This window comes from Homo sapiens, chromosome 1, assembly GCF_000001405.40.
Source record: "Homo sapiens chromosome 1, GRCh38.p14 Primary Assembly".
Lineage (NCBI taxonomy): Eukaryota > Metazoa > Chordata > Mammalia > Primates > Hominidae > Homo > Homo sapiens.
The window spans coordinates 45,023,500-45,042,073 of NC_000001.11; the positions used below are offsets into that span (position 1 = coordinate 45,023,500).

The 18,574-nt window shown below is 41.6% G+C and overlaps 1 protein-coding gene across 3 annotated transcripts in view; it reads right to left on the reverse strand.

Moving 5' to 3' along the window:
• ZSWIM5 (zinc finger SWIM-type containing 5) overlaps positions 1–18,574 on the reverse strand; it is a 190,207-nt gene that overhangs the window by 7,101 nt on the left and 164,532 nt on the right. For 2 of the 3 annotated variants that reach the window (XM_047426192.1, NM_020883.2), the window contains 5 exons: positions 16,893–17,039; positions 15,437–15,574; positions 12,540–12,800; positions 12,189–12,324; positions 10,813–10,970 (listed from right to left, as the gene is read on the reverse strand). In XM_047426192.1, coding sequence (XP_047282148.1) covers positions 10,813–10,970; positions 12,189–12,324; positions 12,540–12,800; positions 15,437–15,574; positions 16,893–17,039 — 840 coding nt within the window. Of the gene's footprint in view, positions 1–10,812; positions 11,060–12,188; positions 12,325–12,539; positions 12,801–15,436; positions 15,575–16,892; positions 17,040–18,574 lie in introns of those variants that run through there. The other variant, XM_011541861.4, reaches the window with a different exon arrangement.

The window sequence follows — 18,574 nt, forward strand, 5'->3', positions numbered from 1 at the left end:
GTCTCTTTTTTTTTTTTGAGTGTGTGTGGCTTGAGAAACCATGTCTTTTTATTTAGAAATAATAATCAATTCTATGGATATACGATAATTTATTTATCCGTTCACCTTTTGAAGAACATCTTGGTTACCTCCAGTTTGGAGCAATTATAAATAAAGATGCTTTAAACATTCATGTGCAGGCTTTTGTGTCGACATGTTTTCAAATAATTTCAAATAGGTTAAATAACAAGGAGCATGACTGCTGGGTCATACAGTAATACTATGTTGATCTTTGTAAAAAAAAGACCAAACTGTCTTCTAAAGTAACTGTACCATTTTGCATTCCCACCAGAAATGAATAAGAATTGCTGTTGCTCCACATCCTTGTCAGCATTTGGTGCTATCAGTTTTGGATTTTAGCCATCCTAGTACTGTGTAATGATATCTCACTGTAGTTTTAATTTGTAATTCCCTAATGACATATAAGTTGAGCATTATTTCATATGCTTGTTTGATATCTGTGTATCTTCTTTGGTGAGGTGTCTCTCCAGATCTTTAGCCCATTTTAAAATTGGGTTGTTTTCTTATTGTTGAGTTTTAAGAGTTTTTTGTATATTTGGGATATAAGTCCTTTATCAGATTTTTTCAAATATTTTTCTCCCAGTCTCTGCTTGTCTTTTTGTTTTCTTAACAGTTTTTCTTTCTTTTCTTTTCTTTTTTTTTTTTTTTGAGACGGAGTCTCGGTCTTGTCGCCCAGGCTGGAGTGCAATGGCCGTGATCTGGGCTCACTGCAACCTCTGCCTCCTGGGTTCAAGCGATTCTTTTGCCTCAGTCTCCCGAGTAGCTGGGATTACAGGCGTGCGCCACCACTCCTGGCTACTTTTTAAATTTTTATTAGAGACAGGGTTTCACCATGTTGACCAGGCTGGTCTCAAACTCCTGACCTCAGGTGATCCACCTGCCTCGACCTCCCCAAGGGCTGGGATTACAGGCGTGAGCCACTGAGCCCGGCCTCTTTACAGTTTTTCATGGGTTTAAGTTTTGAATTTTAATGAATTCCAACTACTCATTTTTTCTTTCATGATTGTGCTTTTGGTGTTGTATCTAAAAAGTCATTGTCAAACCCCAAATCACCTAGATTTTCTCCTAGATTATCCTCTAGAATTATTATTATTATTTATTTATTTATTTTTTGAGACCAAGTCTCACTCTGTCGCCCAGGCTGGAGTGCAATGGTGCGATCTTGGCTAACTGCAACCTCCGCCTCCTGGGTTAAAGATATTCTCCTGTCTCAGCCTCCTGAGTAGCTGGGATTACAGATGCGTGATACCATGCCTGGCTAATTTTTGTATTTTTAGTAGAGATGAGGTTTCACCATGTTGGCCAGGCTGGTCTTGAACTCCTGACCTCAGATGATCTGCCCGCCTCAGCCTCCCAAAGTGCTGGGATTACAGGTGTGAGCCACTGCGCCCGGCCATCCTCTAGAAATTTTATAGTTTTGTGTTTTACCTTTAGGTCTATGATCCATTTTGAGTTAATTTTTGTGAAAGGTCTAAGGTCAGTGTCTATATTAATTTCTTTTTGCATGTGAATGTCCAGATTTTCTAGCACCATTTGTTGAAAAGACAATCTTTTGCTCCTTTCTCAGTATCAGTTGACTATATTTGTGTGAGTCTATTTCTGAGCTTTTAATTTTGTTCCATTGATCTGTTTCTCAGTTTTTCAACAGTACCACACTGTCTTGATTAATATTATAGTAAGTGTTTCCATTGGGTAGTGTCAGGCCTCTGACTTGTTCTTCAATATTATGTTGGCTATTCTAGGTCTTTCGTTTTTCCACACAAAGTTTAGAAAGGGTTTGTTGATATGCACAAAATAAATTGCTGGGATTTTGATTGGGATTGTGTTAAATCTATAGATCACATTGGGAAGAACTAACCTCCTAATACACATTCTTATTATCCATGAACATGGACCATTTCTATTTATTTAAATCATCTTTGATTTTTTTTCATCCAAGTTTTACAGTATTCCTCATATCAATCTTATACATATTTTGTTAGATTTATTCCTAAGTACTTCATTTTTGGGGTGCTAATGTAAATGGTACTGTGTTTTTAATTTCAAATTCCAATTGTTCTTTGCTGGCATATAGGAAAGCAATTGAATTTTGTATATTAATCTTATATACTGCAAACTTGCTATAATTACTTGTTAGTTCCAGTTTTTAAAAAAATTGATTCTTTGGGATTCATACATAGTCAATCATGTCATTTGTGAGCAATATGTACAATCCCTTCCTTTCCAATATGTACAATCCCTGGCTTACAATGATTTCACTTAAGAATTTTTGACCTTAAGATGGGTTTATTGGGACATAACCCTGTCATTAGTCAGGGAGCATCTGTGTATCATTTATTTCCTTTTCCTATCTTATTGTATTAGTTAGGAACTTCTAGTATGATGCTGAATAAAAGTGGCAAGAGGGAACATTCTTGTCTTATTCCTGATCTTAAAGGGAAAGCATCTAGTTTCTCACCATTAAGTATAATGGTAGTTAGTTGTAGGTTTTATTTTTTATCTTTAAGCTCTTTTGCCCAGGCTGGAGTGCAGTAGTACAATCATGGTTCACTGCAGCCTTGACTTCCCAGGCTGAAGTGATTCTCTTGCCTCAGCCTCCCAAGTAGCTGGAACTATAGGAGTGTGCCCACCACAACTGGCTATTTTTTATTTTTTAGTAGCGATGAGGTCTTGCTATGTTATCCAGGCTGGTCTTGAACTCCCAGGCTCAAGCGATTCTCTCATCTTGGCCTCCCAAAGTGCTAGGATTACAGGTGTAAGCCACCACACCCAGCCGGTAATTGTAGGTTTTTTTGTAGAAATTCTTTATCAAGTTGAGGCAGTTCTCCTCTATTCCTAGTTTGCTAAGGGTTTTTTTTTTTAAATTATGAATGGGTGTCAGTTATGCTTTTCCTGCATTTACTGATGAATGACTTTTCTTCTTTGCCTGTGGAAAGAATAAATTCCATTAATGGAATTAACGGATTCCATTCATTGATTTTCAAGTGTTGAGACAACTTACATACTTGAAATAAATCCTACTTGTGGTTCATTCTTTTTATACACTGTTGGGTTTGATTTGCTAAAATTTGTTCAAGATTTTTGCATTTATGCTCATGAGTCATACTGATCTGTACTTTTCCTTTCTTGTAATGTCTTTATCTAGTTTTGGTTTTAGAGTAATGCTGGCCTCATAGAGTAAGGAAGTGTTTCCTCTGCTTCTATTTTCTGGAAGAGACTTTAGAGAATCAGTACCATTTATTCCTTAAATATTTGGTAGAACTCACCAGTGAAATAATCTGAGCCTGGCGCTTTCTGTTTTGGAAGGTTATTATTAATTCAATTTCTTTAACAAATATAGGCCTATTCAGATTATTTATTTCTCCTTCTGTGAGTTTTGGTAGATTGTTTTTTTCAAGAAATTGGTCCATCTAATTATCTAAGTTATCAAATTGGTGGGCATAGAGTTGTTCAAATTTTTTTTTTATTATCCTTTTAATGTTCATGGGGATCAGTACTGATGGCCCCTCTTTCATTTATGATATGAGTAATTTAGATCTCCTCTTTTTTTTTTTTCGTGGTTAGCCTAAAGGTTTATCAATTTTATTGATCTTTTCAAAGAACCGGTCTTGCTTTTATTGATTTTTGCCTACTGTTTCTACTTTCAATTTCACTGATTTCTGCTCTAATTTTTGTTATCTATTTTCTTCTGCTAACTTAGATTTACATTGCTCTTCTTTCGCTATTTTCCCCAATGTGGAAGTTTAACTTATAAACTGATTGTTATTTATTCTTTCTCTATTTTACTAATGTGCAAACTTAGATGATTGATTTTATTTTATAATTATTTTTATTTTTTAATTAATTAATTTTTTTTGAGGCAGAGTCTCGCTCTGTCGCCTAAGCTGGAGTGCAGTGGCACGATCTCAGCTCACTGCAACCTCTGCCTCCTGGTTCAAGTGATTCTTCTGCCTCAGCCTCCTGAGTAGCTGAGATTACAGGCGCCTGCCACCATGCCAAGCTAATTTTTGTATTTTTGTAGAGACAGGGTTTCTCCATGTTGGTCAGCCTGGTCTCAAACTCCTGACCTCATATGATTGCCTCGGCCTCTCAAAGTGCTGAGATTATAGGCATGAACCACTGCACCTGGCCTATTTTTTGAGAAAAGGTCTTACTCTTGCCTAGGCTGGAGTGCAGTGGTGTGATCATGGCTCACTTCAGCCTTGACCTCCCAGGCTCAAGTGATCCTCCCACCTCAGCCTCCCAAGCCACTGGGATTATGGGTGTGAGCCACCATGTCTGGCTCTTTTCTCTTTTTCTTCTTTCTTTTTGAGATGGAGTCTCACTCTCTTGACCAGGCTGGAGTGCAATGGCATGATCTTGGCTCACTGCAACCTCTCCCTCCAGGTTCAAGTGATTCTCCTGCCTCAGCCTCCCGAGTAGCTGGGACTACAGGCATGTACCACCACACCCAGCTAATTTTTGTATTTTTAGTACAGGCAGGGTTTTGCCATGTTGGCCAGGCTGGTCTCGAACTCCTGACCTCAGGTGATCCGCCCACCTTGGCCTCCCAAAGTGCTGGGATTACAGGGGTGAGCCACCACGCCTGGCTGCTCTTTTCACTTTCTTGATAATGTTCTTTGATGCACAAAAGATTTAAATTTTGATGAAGTCTAATTTACCTATCTATATTTTTTTTGTTGTTCATGCTTTTGATGTCATAGCTAAGAATCCATTGGCTTACCCAAGGTCATGAAGACTTATTCCTATGTTTTCATGTAAGAGTTTTATGGCTTTAGCTCTTACATTTAGGTTATTGGTTCCATCTCTACTTTTAATCTATCTGTGTCTTTAAAGTGGGTTTCTTATAGACAACATATAGTTGAGTTTTAAAAAGGTTTCTCCACACCTTTGTCAACACACTTTTTCATCAAAAATTTTCTGTGGTGGCTCATGCCTGCAATCCCAGCACTTTGGGAGGCTGAGGTGAGTCGATCACCTGAGGTCAGGAGTTTGAGACCAGCCTGGCTATCATGGCAAAACCCCATCTCTACTAAAAATACAAAAATTAGCTGGGCATGGTGGCAGGCACCTGTAGTCCCAGCTCCTCAGGAGGCTGAGGCAGGAGATTCATTTGAACTCCGGGCACAGGGGTTGCAGTGAGCTGAAATCGCGCCACTCATTTCAGCCTGGGTGACAGAGCGAGACTCTGTCTCAAAAAATAAAAATAAAAAAAAATAAATAAAAATAATAATTTTCCTTGGCTAAGTGTGGTGGCTCACACCTGTAATCCCAGCATTTTGGGAGCCCAAGGTGGGAGGATTACTTGAGGCCAGGAGTTCAAGACCAGCTAGGGTAACATAGGAAGACCTCGTCTCTACTAAAAAATAAAATTTAAAACAAATCCTTTATTTTGAAATAATTTTACTTACAGAAAAGTTTGAAGAATAGAACAGAGATGTTTTTTCTTCTCTCTGAACCATTTGAAAGTAAGTGACTTGATGCCCCATCACTCCTGACTATTGTAGTGTGTATTTCCTACAAAGACACTCTCCTACACCCACAAGACAACCATCAAAAGCAGCAAATTAACAGATATATTCCTACCATCTACCACCGACCTCATTCAAGTTCCACCAATTGTCCCCAAAATGTCTTTTATAGCAAAAAGATTTTATACAAGTTCATGTGTTGCACTTAGTTTGTCATGTGCCTTTAAGTCTTCTTCAATTTGGAAAAATTTCCCCATCTTTCCTTGACATTCATGACCTTGACACTTTTGCAGGCTAGTTATTTTGTAGTATGTCCTTTAATTTGGTATTCCTGATGTTTCCTTATTAGATGTACATTTGCACTTTTGGCTGTAATGTCACAGAAGTGATGCTGAGTTCTTATTGTTTCCTATCAGGTAATCCATGTTTTTTACTTCATTTCTGATGATATTAACTGTGATCAGTTGATTAAAGTGGTGTTGGCCAGGTTTCGATTGTAAAGTTATACATTTTTCCTTTATGATTGGTAAATATTTTGCGAAGAGATACCTTGAGACTATATGAATATCCTGTTTTTCAAATGTTCATGCACTAGCTTTGAATCCATTGATATTTCCCGACTGCAGCTATTTTAGGTATCTCATGTAAGTCAAAATCATACGATCTTTATCCTTTTGTGTCTAGCTTATTTCACTTAGCATGTTCTCAAGGTTCACTCATGTTGTACCATGTATCAGACTTTCATTCCTTTTATGGCTGAATAATATTCCATTGTCTATATATACCACATTTTGTTTATCCATTCATCTGTTGATGAACATTTGGCTATTATGAATAATGTTATTATAAATGTACAACTATCTGTTTGAGTTCCTGCTTGCAATTCTTTTGGACATATAGCTGGTTCATTTTTTTTCGACCCACCTACCTGTTTATGTTTTTAGAGATAGGGTCTCACTTTCTCATCCAGGCAGTGGCACGATAGCTCACTGTAACCTCAAACTTCTGGGCTCAAGCAATCCTCTTGCTTTAGCCTCCTGAGTAGCTGGGACTACAGGGGGGTGCCACCTTGTCCCGCTAGTTTTTAAATTTTTGCAGAGACAGGGTCTCACTATGTTGCCCAGGCTGGTCTCAAACTCCTGTCCTCTAGTGATCTTCCCACCTCAGCCTCCCAAAGTGTTAGGATTACAGGTGTGAGTCACTTTGGCCTTTAATGACTGAATGATTGATTGATCGAGATGGAATCTTGCTCTGTCGCCCAGGCTGGAGTGCAGTGGCGCAATCTCGGCTCACTGCAACCTCTGCCTCCCAGTTCAAGTGATTCTTGTGCCTCAGCCTCCTGAGTAGCTGGGATTACAGGCATGTGCCACCATGCCCGGCTAATTTTTGTATTTTTAGTACAGACAGGGTTTTGCCATGTTGGCCAGGCTGGTCTCGAACTCCTACCTTTAGGTTATCCGCCCGCCTCAGCCTCCCAAAGTGCTGGGATTACAGGCGTGAGCCACTGAGCCTGGCCCTGGCTTTTATTTATTCTTAAGTGAGCTCTGACAGTTTTGTTTTTGAAGGAGTTAGTCCATTTCATCTGTGTTGTTGAATTTACTGGCATAAAGCTGTTTGTAATATTCTCCTATTACCATTTTGATGTCTTTAGAATCTGTAGTGATATCACCTTTCTCATTCCTGATATTGGTCATTTCTGCCTTTTATCTCCTTTTTTCTTGATCAGTCTAGACAGGGATTTAAATTTGATTTATGTTTTCATTCTTTCTTTTTTTTTTTTTTTTGAGATAGAGTCTTACTCTGTCCTCCAGGCTGGAGTGTAGTGGCACGATCTCAGCTCATTGCAACCTCTGTCTCCCTGATTCAAGCAATTCTCCCTGCCTCAGCCTCCTGAGTAGCTGGGATTACAGGCACCCACCACCATGCCCAGCTAATTTTTGTATTTTTTAGTAGAGACAGGGTTGCGCCATGTTGGCCAGCCTTGTCTCTAACTCCTGACCTCAAGCAATCCACCTACCTCGGCTCCCACAGTGCTGGGATTACAGGCGTGAGCCACCGTGCCCAGCCTTAATTGATCTTTTCAAAGAATCAGCTTTTGGTTTCATTGATTATTCTCTATTTCATTGATTTTTGCTCTGATTTTTTTTTTTTTTTTTTTTTTTTTGAGACAGAGTCTTACTTTGTTGCCCAGGCTGGAGGGCAGTGGTGTGATCTTGGCTGACTGCAGCCTCCACCTCCTGTGTTCAGATGATTATAGTACCTCAGCCTCCCGAGTAGCTGGGATTATAGGCGCATGCCACCATGCTCACGCAATTTTTTTTTTTTGTATTTTTGGTAGAGATGGAGTTTTAGCATGTTAGCCAGGCTGGTCTCGAACTCCTGGCTTCAAGTGATCTGCCTTCCTTGGCCTCCCGAAGTGCTGGGATTACAGGTATGAGCCACCGCACCTGTCTGCTCTCATTTTTATTATTTCCTTCCCTATGCTTACCTTGGGTTTTCTTTTTCTGACTTCTTAAAGTGAAATCTGGGCTGGGCACAGTGGCTAACGCCTGTAATCCCAGCACTTTGGGAGGCTGAGGTGGGCGGATCACGAGGTCAGGAGATCGAGACCATCCTGGCAAACACTGTGAAATCCCACCTCTACTAAAAATACAAAAAAATTAGCCGGGCGTGGTGGCGGGCACCCGTAGTCCCAGCTACTCGGGAGGCGGAGGCAGGAGAATGGCATGAACCTAGGGGGTGGAGCTTGCAGTGAGCGGAGATCACGCCACTGCATTCCAACCTGGGCAACGGAGTAAGACTCCATCTCAAAAAAAAAAAAAAAAAAAAGTGAAATCTGAGATCACTGATTTGAAGCATTTTTCATTTATTGCTAAAAATTTATAAGTAAAACCTTAGCTACATTCTACAAATTTTGACTTGTGCTTTCATTTTCATATAGTCAAAAGATTTTCTAATTTTCTTGTGATTTTTTTCTTTGCTCCATGAGTAATATACACGTATGTGGTTTAATTTCCAAAAACTTAAGATATTTTAAAATATCTTTTTATTATCGAATTCTAATTGAACTGTGGTTGTCTGAAAAAGATTTTTAGTTCATCTCTCTTTTTTTTAAGAGTCAGGGTCTTGCTCTGTCACCCAGGTTGGAGTGCAGTGTCATGATGGTAGCTTACTGTAGTCTCTTAACTCCTGGGCTTGAGCAGTCCTTCTGCCTTAGCCTCCTGAGTAGCTGGGACTACGGGTGCTTGCCAGTACACCTGGCTAATTTTTAAAATTTTTTGTAAAGACAGGATCTTGCTATGTTGCTCAGGTTAGTCTCAAACTCCTGGTCTCAAGTGATCCTTCTGCCTTGGCCTCCTAAAGTGCTGGGACTACAGGTGTGAGCCACTGCACCTGGCCTCATCTTTGTTTCTGAAATATATTTTCATTGGTATAAAATTCTAGTTTGACAGTTTTTGTTTTTTTTTTTTTTTTGAGACAGAGTCTCACTCTGTCACCCAGGCAGGAGTTCAGTGGTGCAACTCGGCTCACCGCAACCTCTGCTTCCCAGGTTCAAGCGATCCTCGTGCCACAGCCTCCTGAGTAGCTGGGACTACAGGTGTGCACTACCACGCCCAGCTAATTTTTGTATTTTTAGTAGAGACAGGGGTTTCACCATGTTGGCCAGGATGTTCTCAAACTCCTGATCTCAAGTGATCTGCCCGCCTTGGCCTCCTAAAGTGCTAGGATTATAGGTGTGAGCCACCGTGCCTGGCCTGATAATTTTTTTTTTTTTTAAAGTACTTTAAGGGTTTTTTTTCCCACTGTTTTCTGGCTTACATTGTTTCTAATGAGAAATCTGTTCCCATACTTGTTTTTTTGTCCTTTGTAATGTATCTTTTTTACTCTGATTGCTTTTAAGTAGATTTTCTATTATTGGTTTTAAGCATTTTGGTTATGATGTGCCATGGTATAGTTTTCTTCATGTTTATTATGCTTGTGGTTCATTGATTTCCTTAGATCTGTAGTCCTCCTCCTTATCCTGCTTGGAATCTGATACTCCATGCAGGCTACCGCCACTCCCCACTTGACACTCCTCACATGAATGCACATTATCAGATTTGTTTTTTGCCAATAAGATCAGTAAAAAATGTTATCTCAGGCTAATTTTAATTTGTATTTCTAATGTGATACCAGGTATTTTAGTTGTCTAAAAACGATTTGTATCTCCTTTTCTGTGAACTGTCTGATCATATGCTTTGTTCTATTTTTGTATTTGTTTGCTGATCATTTTTATATTAATTTATATGTAACTTTTACCTTTTCTCTAATAAGCATGTATTTTTGGGGGGACAATAAGAAGATACCACATAAAGTTATTTTTAATTAAAAAATAACTTCAAAATCCATGTAGTTTCCTGGTCTAAAATATTCAGGAGCTCATGGTGGCTAGCATTTTATCATAGCTCCTTCTTATATAGGGGCTTACTTTCACTTCTGTTTGTGGTGAAACCTGCATAGCTAACAGGATGTATGTGAGCTTAAAGGCCTGAGAATCACTTTGGACTGCCTATCTTTTACCAGGGCACTGAAAAAAAAATCACCAACTCTTATATCTGTAAGGAGTTCAGCTCTATCTTAGTCATCACTTCATTAGATCTTCCAGTGGCCCTGGGAGGCTGACAGGTCATTGACAATGATCCCCATTTTATAGATTTGAAACTGAGGCGTAGAAAGGTGAAGTGATTTTATCAAACAGAAGGTTAGACTTAGAAGTACCTTAAAGATCATTTAATTTTACATATTTGGTATCCTACAATTAGTAACTAGGGTAAAGTTTTGGCTTGGATCCAGGTGCTTTTTTTTTTTTTGAGACGGAGTCTTGCTCTGTCACCCAGGCTGGAGTGCAGTGGCACGATCTTGGCTCACTGCAAGCTCTGCCTCACGCCATTCTCCTGCCTCAGCCTCCCGAGTAGCTGGGACTACAGGCGCCCGCCACCACGCCCGGCTACTTTTTGTATTTTTAGTAGAGATGGGGTTTCACCATGTTGGCCAGGATGGTCTCGATCTCTTGACCTCGTGATCTCCCGCCTCGGCCTCCCAAAGTGCTGGGATTACAGGCGTAAGCCACCGCGCCTGGCCAGGTGCTCTTTCTAATGGCAGCAATCAAAGTGAGGACCACTATCACTCTAAATGGTCAAGGAGCTTCTCTTTCTCAGGAGACTGCAGGCCAAGCCTTTGACATGCCATGGTTGGGCAGGCAGACGGGTGATGCTGGAGCTTAAGGTCTATCTATGCTCACCTTTGGCAGCAGTCAGCATGGTGGAGGCCAGTTCACACTGCTGTGATTCCAAGTGTCCAAGCGTGAACCAGCGAGGATAACGGCTGGGCACCACAGACACCATATGGTGAGGGTGGGATGTGTCGCCTGCAGAAGCTGAGTTTTCTAAAACAGGTAACCTGGAAGACCCAGGAAGAATCATCAGCCACCATCCAGACCCTGGGCTTCCGAGCCACCTTAGAGAAGCTTGCTCTTTGCTGGGGAGGAACTGGGGAGAGGAAAGGATTAACTAAGAGCTTTGAAGGTTTTTAAACCTATGGTACTATACACTATATGAGGTGAGTGCCTGGGCACTTAAGAGTACTCAACGCTGAATAGTTTCCACTACAAATGGATGTGAAAGGCCGTTCAAGAGCTATCGGGTTGAATAGTATGATATATTGTAAAAAGAGAGAAAAGTTAATACATTTTTAAAAAGAATCATAGGGTTGTTTATTTTATTTATTTTTGAGACAGTGTCTCTCTCTGTTGCATAGGCTGGAGTGTAGTGGCATAATCACAGCTCACTGCAGCCCCGACCTCCCAGGCTCAAGCGATCCTCCCACCTCAGTCTCTTGAGTAGCTGGGACTTCAGGTGTGCACCAACATGCCTGGCTAATTTTTGTATTTTTTGTTTTTGTAGAGATGGGGTTTCACCATGCTGCCCAGGCTGGTCTCAAACTCCTGGGCTCAAGCAATCTACCTGCCTCGGCCTCCCAAAGTGCTAGGATTATAGGCTTGAGCCACCGTACCCAGCCTGGTTATTTCTAAAAGTATAAGAAATACATGCCAAGGAATTTCCTGTTTTAGCTAAGGTATTCTCCCAGCCTTACAGTCTGACTAAAATTCTTCTTCTGTATAGTCTGCTACATCCCAGAGGTTTAACTGCCTAAACCAAGGATCCTATTCTAGCCTGGAAACAAGATGCCCATAGCTCATTGTTCTCAAGTCTTGGGGTAAACATATTTATCTCTACTTCCCCCAGCTTCTTCTGGGGACCTGTGCCTGGGAACCTTGACTGAGTTGAACTACAGAAGGGCTCAGACCCCTTCTCAGCTTGCCTGAATAACCACTGAACAGGAAGACTCAGGTCTTAAGTGCTCCTTATTTATTAACATCTCAGGGGCTTCCTCAGACAATCAACCATGAGTACTGCCAGGGAACCAAGTCACCAACAAGGAATCCAGATATGAATCCTAGATCATATAAAAATATCTGAGCCATTTTAAGGTACACTTGGTAGCGGGTCCAACAGAATGACAAAGAGGGAAAGAAAAGAAAGTGAAATAAGCAATGAAAAAGAGCACTGGACACTTCTGCTTTGGTGGAGGCAATTGGACTGGGAAAGGGCTACCCACCTCATGGCACGTAAGGCTAATTTATAGGACAGGTCTGGATCATGAGGCAGCAGAGCTGAGAACAAATACTTGGCAAAGGTATGCATGGGAACACTCTCTCGGTGGATGACTTCTCCCAGACCGCTGAAAGGACCTCCTGGAGGAAGATAAGCCAGCCAGTTATTTATCTGTATGCTTCCATCTGCCAGCCTGGACTTGAGCCCCAGTATCTCATGCATGTTTGCTAATCATGGGAACCTTCATTCACTACATTTTAATGTCATAAATGTTCCTGTACTTGTACTCTATTGGAGAGGGGAGCTCAGGGTCATGGGCCAAAGACACCGTGACAAGAGACTCTTTTCTACTTACCTTCCAGCAGTAAGATGCATTGTTTTTGCAGTGTTTGCACTAGCTCATCGTCCAGCTGCAGCTCTTGGAGTTGGCTCAGGAGCTGCTCCTCATTACGGCATACCTTGTCCTGTGCGTAGAGGCCTTCAGGCATTAACCTCTGTTGACCCAGGCCCATCAGTGCAACTTCCAGGGCCAATGACAGGTAGGACTCACTGCTGTTTGGGGAGCCTGCAGCCACAGGTACATGCTGGTACACAGGGGGTCTGCTTTCATTCATATCTGAGGGCAACAGGGCACCAAATTCTTTAGGTTAGGCTTGGTAGAGTCTTCTTTCTTTTTTTTTTTTTTTTTTGAGACAGAGTCTTGCTCTGTTGTCCAGGCTGGAGTACAGTGGTGCAATCTCAGCTCACTGCAGCCTCCGCCTCCCCGGTTCAAGCGATTTTCCTGCCTCAGCCTCCCAAGTAGCTGGGATTACAGGAGCATGCCACAACACCTGTCGAATTTTTGTATTTTTAGTAGAGGGGCGGTTTCATCATGTTGGCCAGGCTGGACTCAAACTCCTGACCTCAGGTGATCTGCCTACCTCGGCCTCCGAATGTGCTGGGATTACAGGTGTGAGCCACCGTATTCGGCCTAGTCTTCTGTCTTTCCCTCCCACCTTTGGGATACAGCTTGGTCAACAGCTATCATAGGGAAGCTGAATCAGAACCCCAGAATAGTAAGGAAAATATACTGAAAAAAAGGTTACACAGAGCCACAAAGATTCACACTTCTTTCTTTTTTAATTTTTTTGGAGACAGAGTCTTGCTTGGTTGCTAAGGCGGGAGTGTAGTGGTGCAATCATGGGTCACTGATGCAGCCTCAACCTCTTGGGCTCAAGCGACCCTCCCACTTCAGCTTCCTGAGTAGCTGGGACTACAGGCACATGCCACCATGCCCAGATAATTTTTAATTTTTTTTTGTAGAGATAGGGTCTCATTATGTTGCCCAGGCTGGTCTCAAACTCCTGGGCTCAAGTGATTTTCCCACCTTGGCCTCCCAAAATGCTGGGATTATAGGCATAAGCCACCATGCCCAGCCCCACCTCCTTTTTTTTTTTTTTTTTTTTGAGAGGGAGTCTCGCTCCATCTCCCAGGCTGGAGAGCAGTGGCACGGTATCGGCTTACTGCAACCTCCGCCTCCTGGGTTCAAGCAATTCATCTGCCTCAGCCTCCTGAGTAGCTGGGATTACAGGCACACACCACCACACCCAGCTAATTTTTATATTTTTAGTAGAGATGGGGTTTCACCATGTTGGCCAGGCTGGTCTCCAACTCCTGACCTCAGGTGATCTGCCTGCCTTGGCCTCCCAAAGTGCTGGGATTACAGGCGAGAGCCACTGCGCCCGGCCCATCTCCTTCTTAATATATGAACTGGCTAAGCCAGTTAGGGAAGTATAAAATCTTATATTTTGCTAGCACATTATGTAATGCTGTAATTGTCTGTTTTTGTTTCTGTCTCTTTCATAGAATGTGAACACCTTAAAGGGATTAGACCATCTTGTTGTTCTAGGTATTGCTATGTGTTAGTGGTGAATGAATAAACCCAAGTGCAAACTCAGGTTTCCAAGATGTAAATGTCACTGTACAGATGAAACAGACCAAAGATGATGATTCACTTTGCAAGGGATCAGAGGGAAGATAAGGAGCAGCCTGCACTTGGCTTGGGGCCACCCCTTATATCTCTACCCAGAGAAATCTGAATCCCTACAGTTAAACTCTTAACTTTTGTAACATTTGCAACCTTTATGTTACTATTATCTCATATGCTCCACCAGTGGGTGCACAATTTCAGGAAGTAAGCACGGTTTAAAAGTCAAAGTCTTGGTTTCTTTTCTTTTCTCCCTCATCTATCTAATAAGTATTTATGAAAGATTGTTAAATGTCAGGTCCTCCACTAAGTGCTAGGAACACAAAGATAAAGAAGTCATAATTTCTGTTTTCAAGTAGCTGACAGTCTAGTAAGAGAGAACTATTTGTAAATAAATTGTAATGTAGCATGCTAAATACTAAAGTAGATATATGTATACAGTAAGTGAAGGTATAAAAGAAAAAAGAATCAATTTTGTCTCTATCTATTCTTGGCTACTCTAATAGAGTCTTGAGGCTCTATTAAATTATTCTCCTCTATTTCTTATTTGTAAAATTGGTACAAAACCATCATGTGGAAGAAAGTTCAAAGGAAACCAGAAAATATTATTATGCAATTGCAAGGGATACACAGATTCTTAATGGAAGTTCTTTCCCACTTTCAGACTGCTCTAGGTTCTCGCCTCTGACTGCTAAAATTTCTCTATCACTTGTTATTCTTCTTGGACTACATTCTTTAGGCATTTATGATAGGGAAATAAAAGGAACAAGGAAGGCTGGCAAGGTAAAATGCAAAATCAGGACAAGGCCAGACCAAAGGGTAGGAAAGGAAGGTGGGAAATGGGCAAGCATGAAGAAACCTCTCAGGGTGCTCTAGTTTGGACAAGAGGGGGAAAAAACTTCAAAAGGAGGTAGAACAGAGTCTGGAAGGGAGAAAAGGGCTGACGAGGGCAGTCTTTTTTTTTTTTTTTTTAATGAAACAGGGTCTCACTTTGTCACCCAGATTGCAGTGCAGTGGTGTGATCTTGACTCACTGCAGCCTCGATCTCCTGGGATCAAGTGATCCTACTGCCTCAGCCCCGAAGTAGCTGGGATTACAGGCGACTGACCACACCTGGCTAATATTTTGTAGAGACAGGGTTTTGCCATGTTGCCCAGGCTGGTCTTGAACTCTTGAACTCAAGTAATCCACCCACCTTGGCCTCCCAAAATGCTAGGATTACAGGTGTGAGCCACCATGCTAACCAACAAGGGCAGTCTTGGTTTGCCTCAGGCTGACCCCTGTACCTGACATCTCCAGATAGCCATCATCATTCAGGCGGCAGGCCTCAGTCAAAGTGAGAAACAGGCAGTCGATGGGATCCAGGGGGTGGCCCACCCAGCCCTCCAGGTTTGTGATGGTTGTGGTTCCTCTCTGCAACAGTTCTGGAAACAAGCAGGTTAAAATTTTAGACAGTGATAGAGACAAACTGCTGTCTGTCCCTGCCTGGGTCTTCTTATCAGTCTCTCCAGCCTTGACCCTGAGAGTCAAATAAAAGCTTCTCTATTGTCTTGCCTTGGGTTGATACGGCTGGCCACAAACATACCAGCCAGCTATAAGGTCACGTGGTCTGCATTTGGGTTGCCTGCTGGTAGTGCATACGTGGATAGAGCTTTACAGGTTTTTGTTTTAAGAGATACCTGAGTCTTCTGAATAGTTGGGACTACAGGCACATGCCACCATGCCCTGTTAATTTTATTTAAAAATTTATTTTTGAGACAGAGTCTCGCTCTATCGCCCAGGCCAGAGTGCAGTGGCGTGATCTTGGCTCATTGCAACCTCCGCCTCCTGGGTTCAAACAATTCTCGTGCCTCAGCCTCCAGAGTAGCTGGGACTACAGGCATGTGCCACTATGCCTGACAATTTTTGTATTTTTGATAGAACTGGGGTTTCACTATGTTGGCCAGGCTGGTCTTGAACTCCTGGCCTCAAGTGATCCACCCGATTCACCCTACCAAAGTCCTGGGATTACAGGCGTGAGCCACTGTGCCTGGCATATTTAATTTAATTTAATTTAATTAATTATTTATTTTAAGACGGAGCTCTGCTCTTGTTGCCCAGGCTGGAGTGCAATGGTGTGATCTCGGCTCACTGCAACCTCCGCCTCCTGGGTTCCAGCGATTCTTCTGCCTCAGCCTCCCAAGTAGCTGGGATTACAGGCACGCGCCACCACGCCCAGCTAATTTTTTGTATTTTTAGTAGAGATGGGGTTTCTCCATGTTGGTCAGGCTGGTCTCGAACTCCCGACCTCAGGTGATTGCCTGCCTCGGCCTCCCAAAGTGCTGGGATTACAGGCGTAAGCCACCATGCCTGGCCTTTATTTTATTTTTGTAAAGATAGGGTCTCACCATGTTGCCCAGGCTGGTCTCAAACTCCTGGCCTCAAGCAATCCTCCTACCTGGGCCTCCCAAAGTGCTGGGATTATAGGTGTGAATCACCATGCCTGTCCACAGCTTTAGAGTTTAAAAATGGTCTTCTCATACCAGATCTTAATGAGCCTTCTAACTGCCTTATGAGGGAGGCAAACAGGTATTATTCCCAAATGAACAGATGAGAAAACTGACATTCATAAAGATAAAGTGAGGCATTCCACACAGCAAGGAGAATGACCCGGAATTCCCTAGTTCTTCTGGGCCTTGTATCCCCTGAGGATCCTCATCAGCTTTGGGCCTAAGGGGGTTAGATGGCTCCTAATTACTATACCTTTCTTCTGATGCTTGTAGATTTCCAGTTGCCGCTGCTGCTGCAACCTCAGAGTATTAATAATGGCCACTGTGAGTCTGAGGGCCTCTTTTGGATAACCATGGGAACGCAGGGCGTCAACTCGAGCACAGGCTGTAGGCACATGCTCTACCAAGTAAGAAGAAGATATTTTGGTCTAGTTAAAATTTCAAGTCAGGAAAATTTATACCTGACAAAGAGAGTTTGTATTCAGTCCAGTTCCTCAAATTCAACCTGACACCTACTGTATACCAGGAACTGTGTCTTTATCTTTAAGGATATAAAAAGTTGAATAAATCACAGGTGATATCTTGAAAGAGCTACCTTGCAGCCTCAGCGTGGTCTATGGTGTAGAAAGGGACACACAAGTAGGATAATAAAATGTAGTTTCTCTTTGCAAACATATATTATACTATGGGAAACCAATGGAGGTAGCAACTAACTGCCTAATGGGAAAAGTCTCATTCATTTAATTAATCCTACATTTCCTGAAAACCTATTAAATGCCAGGGAGTATGCTGGGCAAAGAAAGTACAAAGATGAATAGGAAATGGTCATTGCCCTCAAAGAGCTCACAAATGATACATAAATGTAATTATAAAGCAGCTAAAAAGAAGTAACATGATAGAAATATATACAGAGAGAAAATAATATTTGAGCTGTGCTTTGAAGGACAAGTAAGATTTCAAACAGGTAGACAAACAGGGAAAGACATTCCTGACAAAGGAAACATAAGCAAGGGCATATTGTAAAAGCATAAAAATTATTCAATATATTAATAGCATCCATCTTCAGAGTATGGCAAATAGTTCCATGTAGTTAGAATTATGTTATGTGGCCTAAGATAGCCTGGAAAAGGTAGAGTCTGGAATGTAAACAGCTGTGAATGCCATTCTATGGAGTTTGAATTTACCTTAGGGATAATGGAAGACTACCAAACCAAAGACTTACAAATAGGTGAGTAACTATAACAAGCTTTATGGTTTATTTTGTGCTTTTTTTCTTAAAGATAAAATTAAAAATTATAGAATTGCGGAAAATTTGAAAATACATATAAAGAAATATAAAATAAAAATCAGAAATAATCACTCTTTCCAGTGTCATGTATATTTACTCACACTTTTCTAGTAACTTTTTTTTTTTTTTAGATGGAGTCTCACTCTGTCACCCAGACTGGAGTACAGTGGTGTGATCTCCGCTCACTGCAACCTCCGCCTCCCAGGTCCAAGCAATTCTCCTGCCTCAGCCTCCTGAGTAGCTGGGATTACCGATGTGTGCCACCACACCCGGATAATTTCTAGTATTTTAAGTAGAGACAGGGTTTCACCATGTTGGCCAGGCTGGTCTCAAACTCCTGACCTCAGGTGATCCACCCACCTCAGCCTCTCAATGTGCTGGGATTACAGGCGTGAGCCACTGCGCCCAGCCTAGTAAGTTTTTACTAAAAATGGGATGGTATTATACTTACTGTTTTGTAACTGGCCTTTCCACTTAATAACACATTGTAAATATTTTTCCATGTTATCAAATATACATCTATAACATTAAAAATGATTACATATAATTCTGGTGAATACATGTATATCTATTGAGCTAATCAATCCCCTATTGTTGGACATTTATATGGTTCCCAATTTTTCTCATCTGTACCTTATTTTTATCCA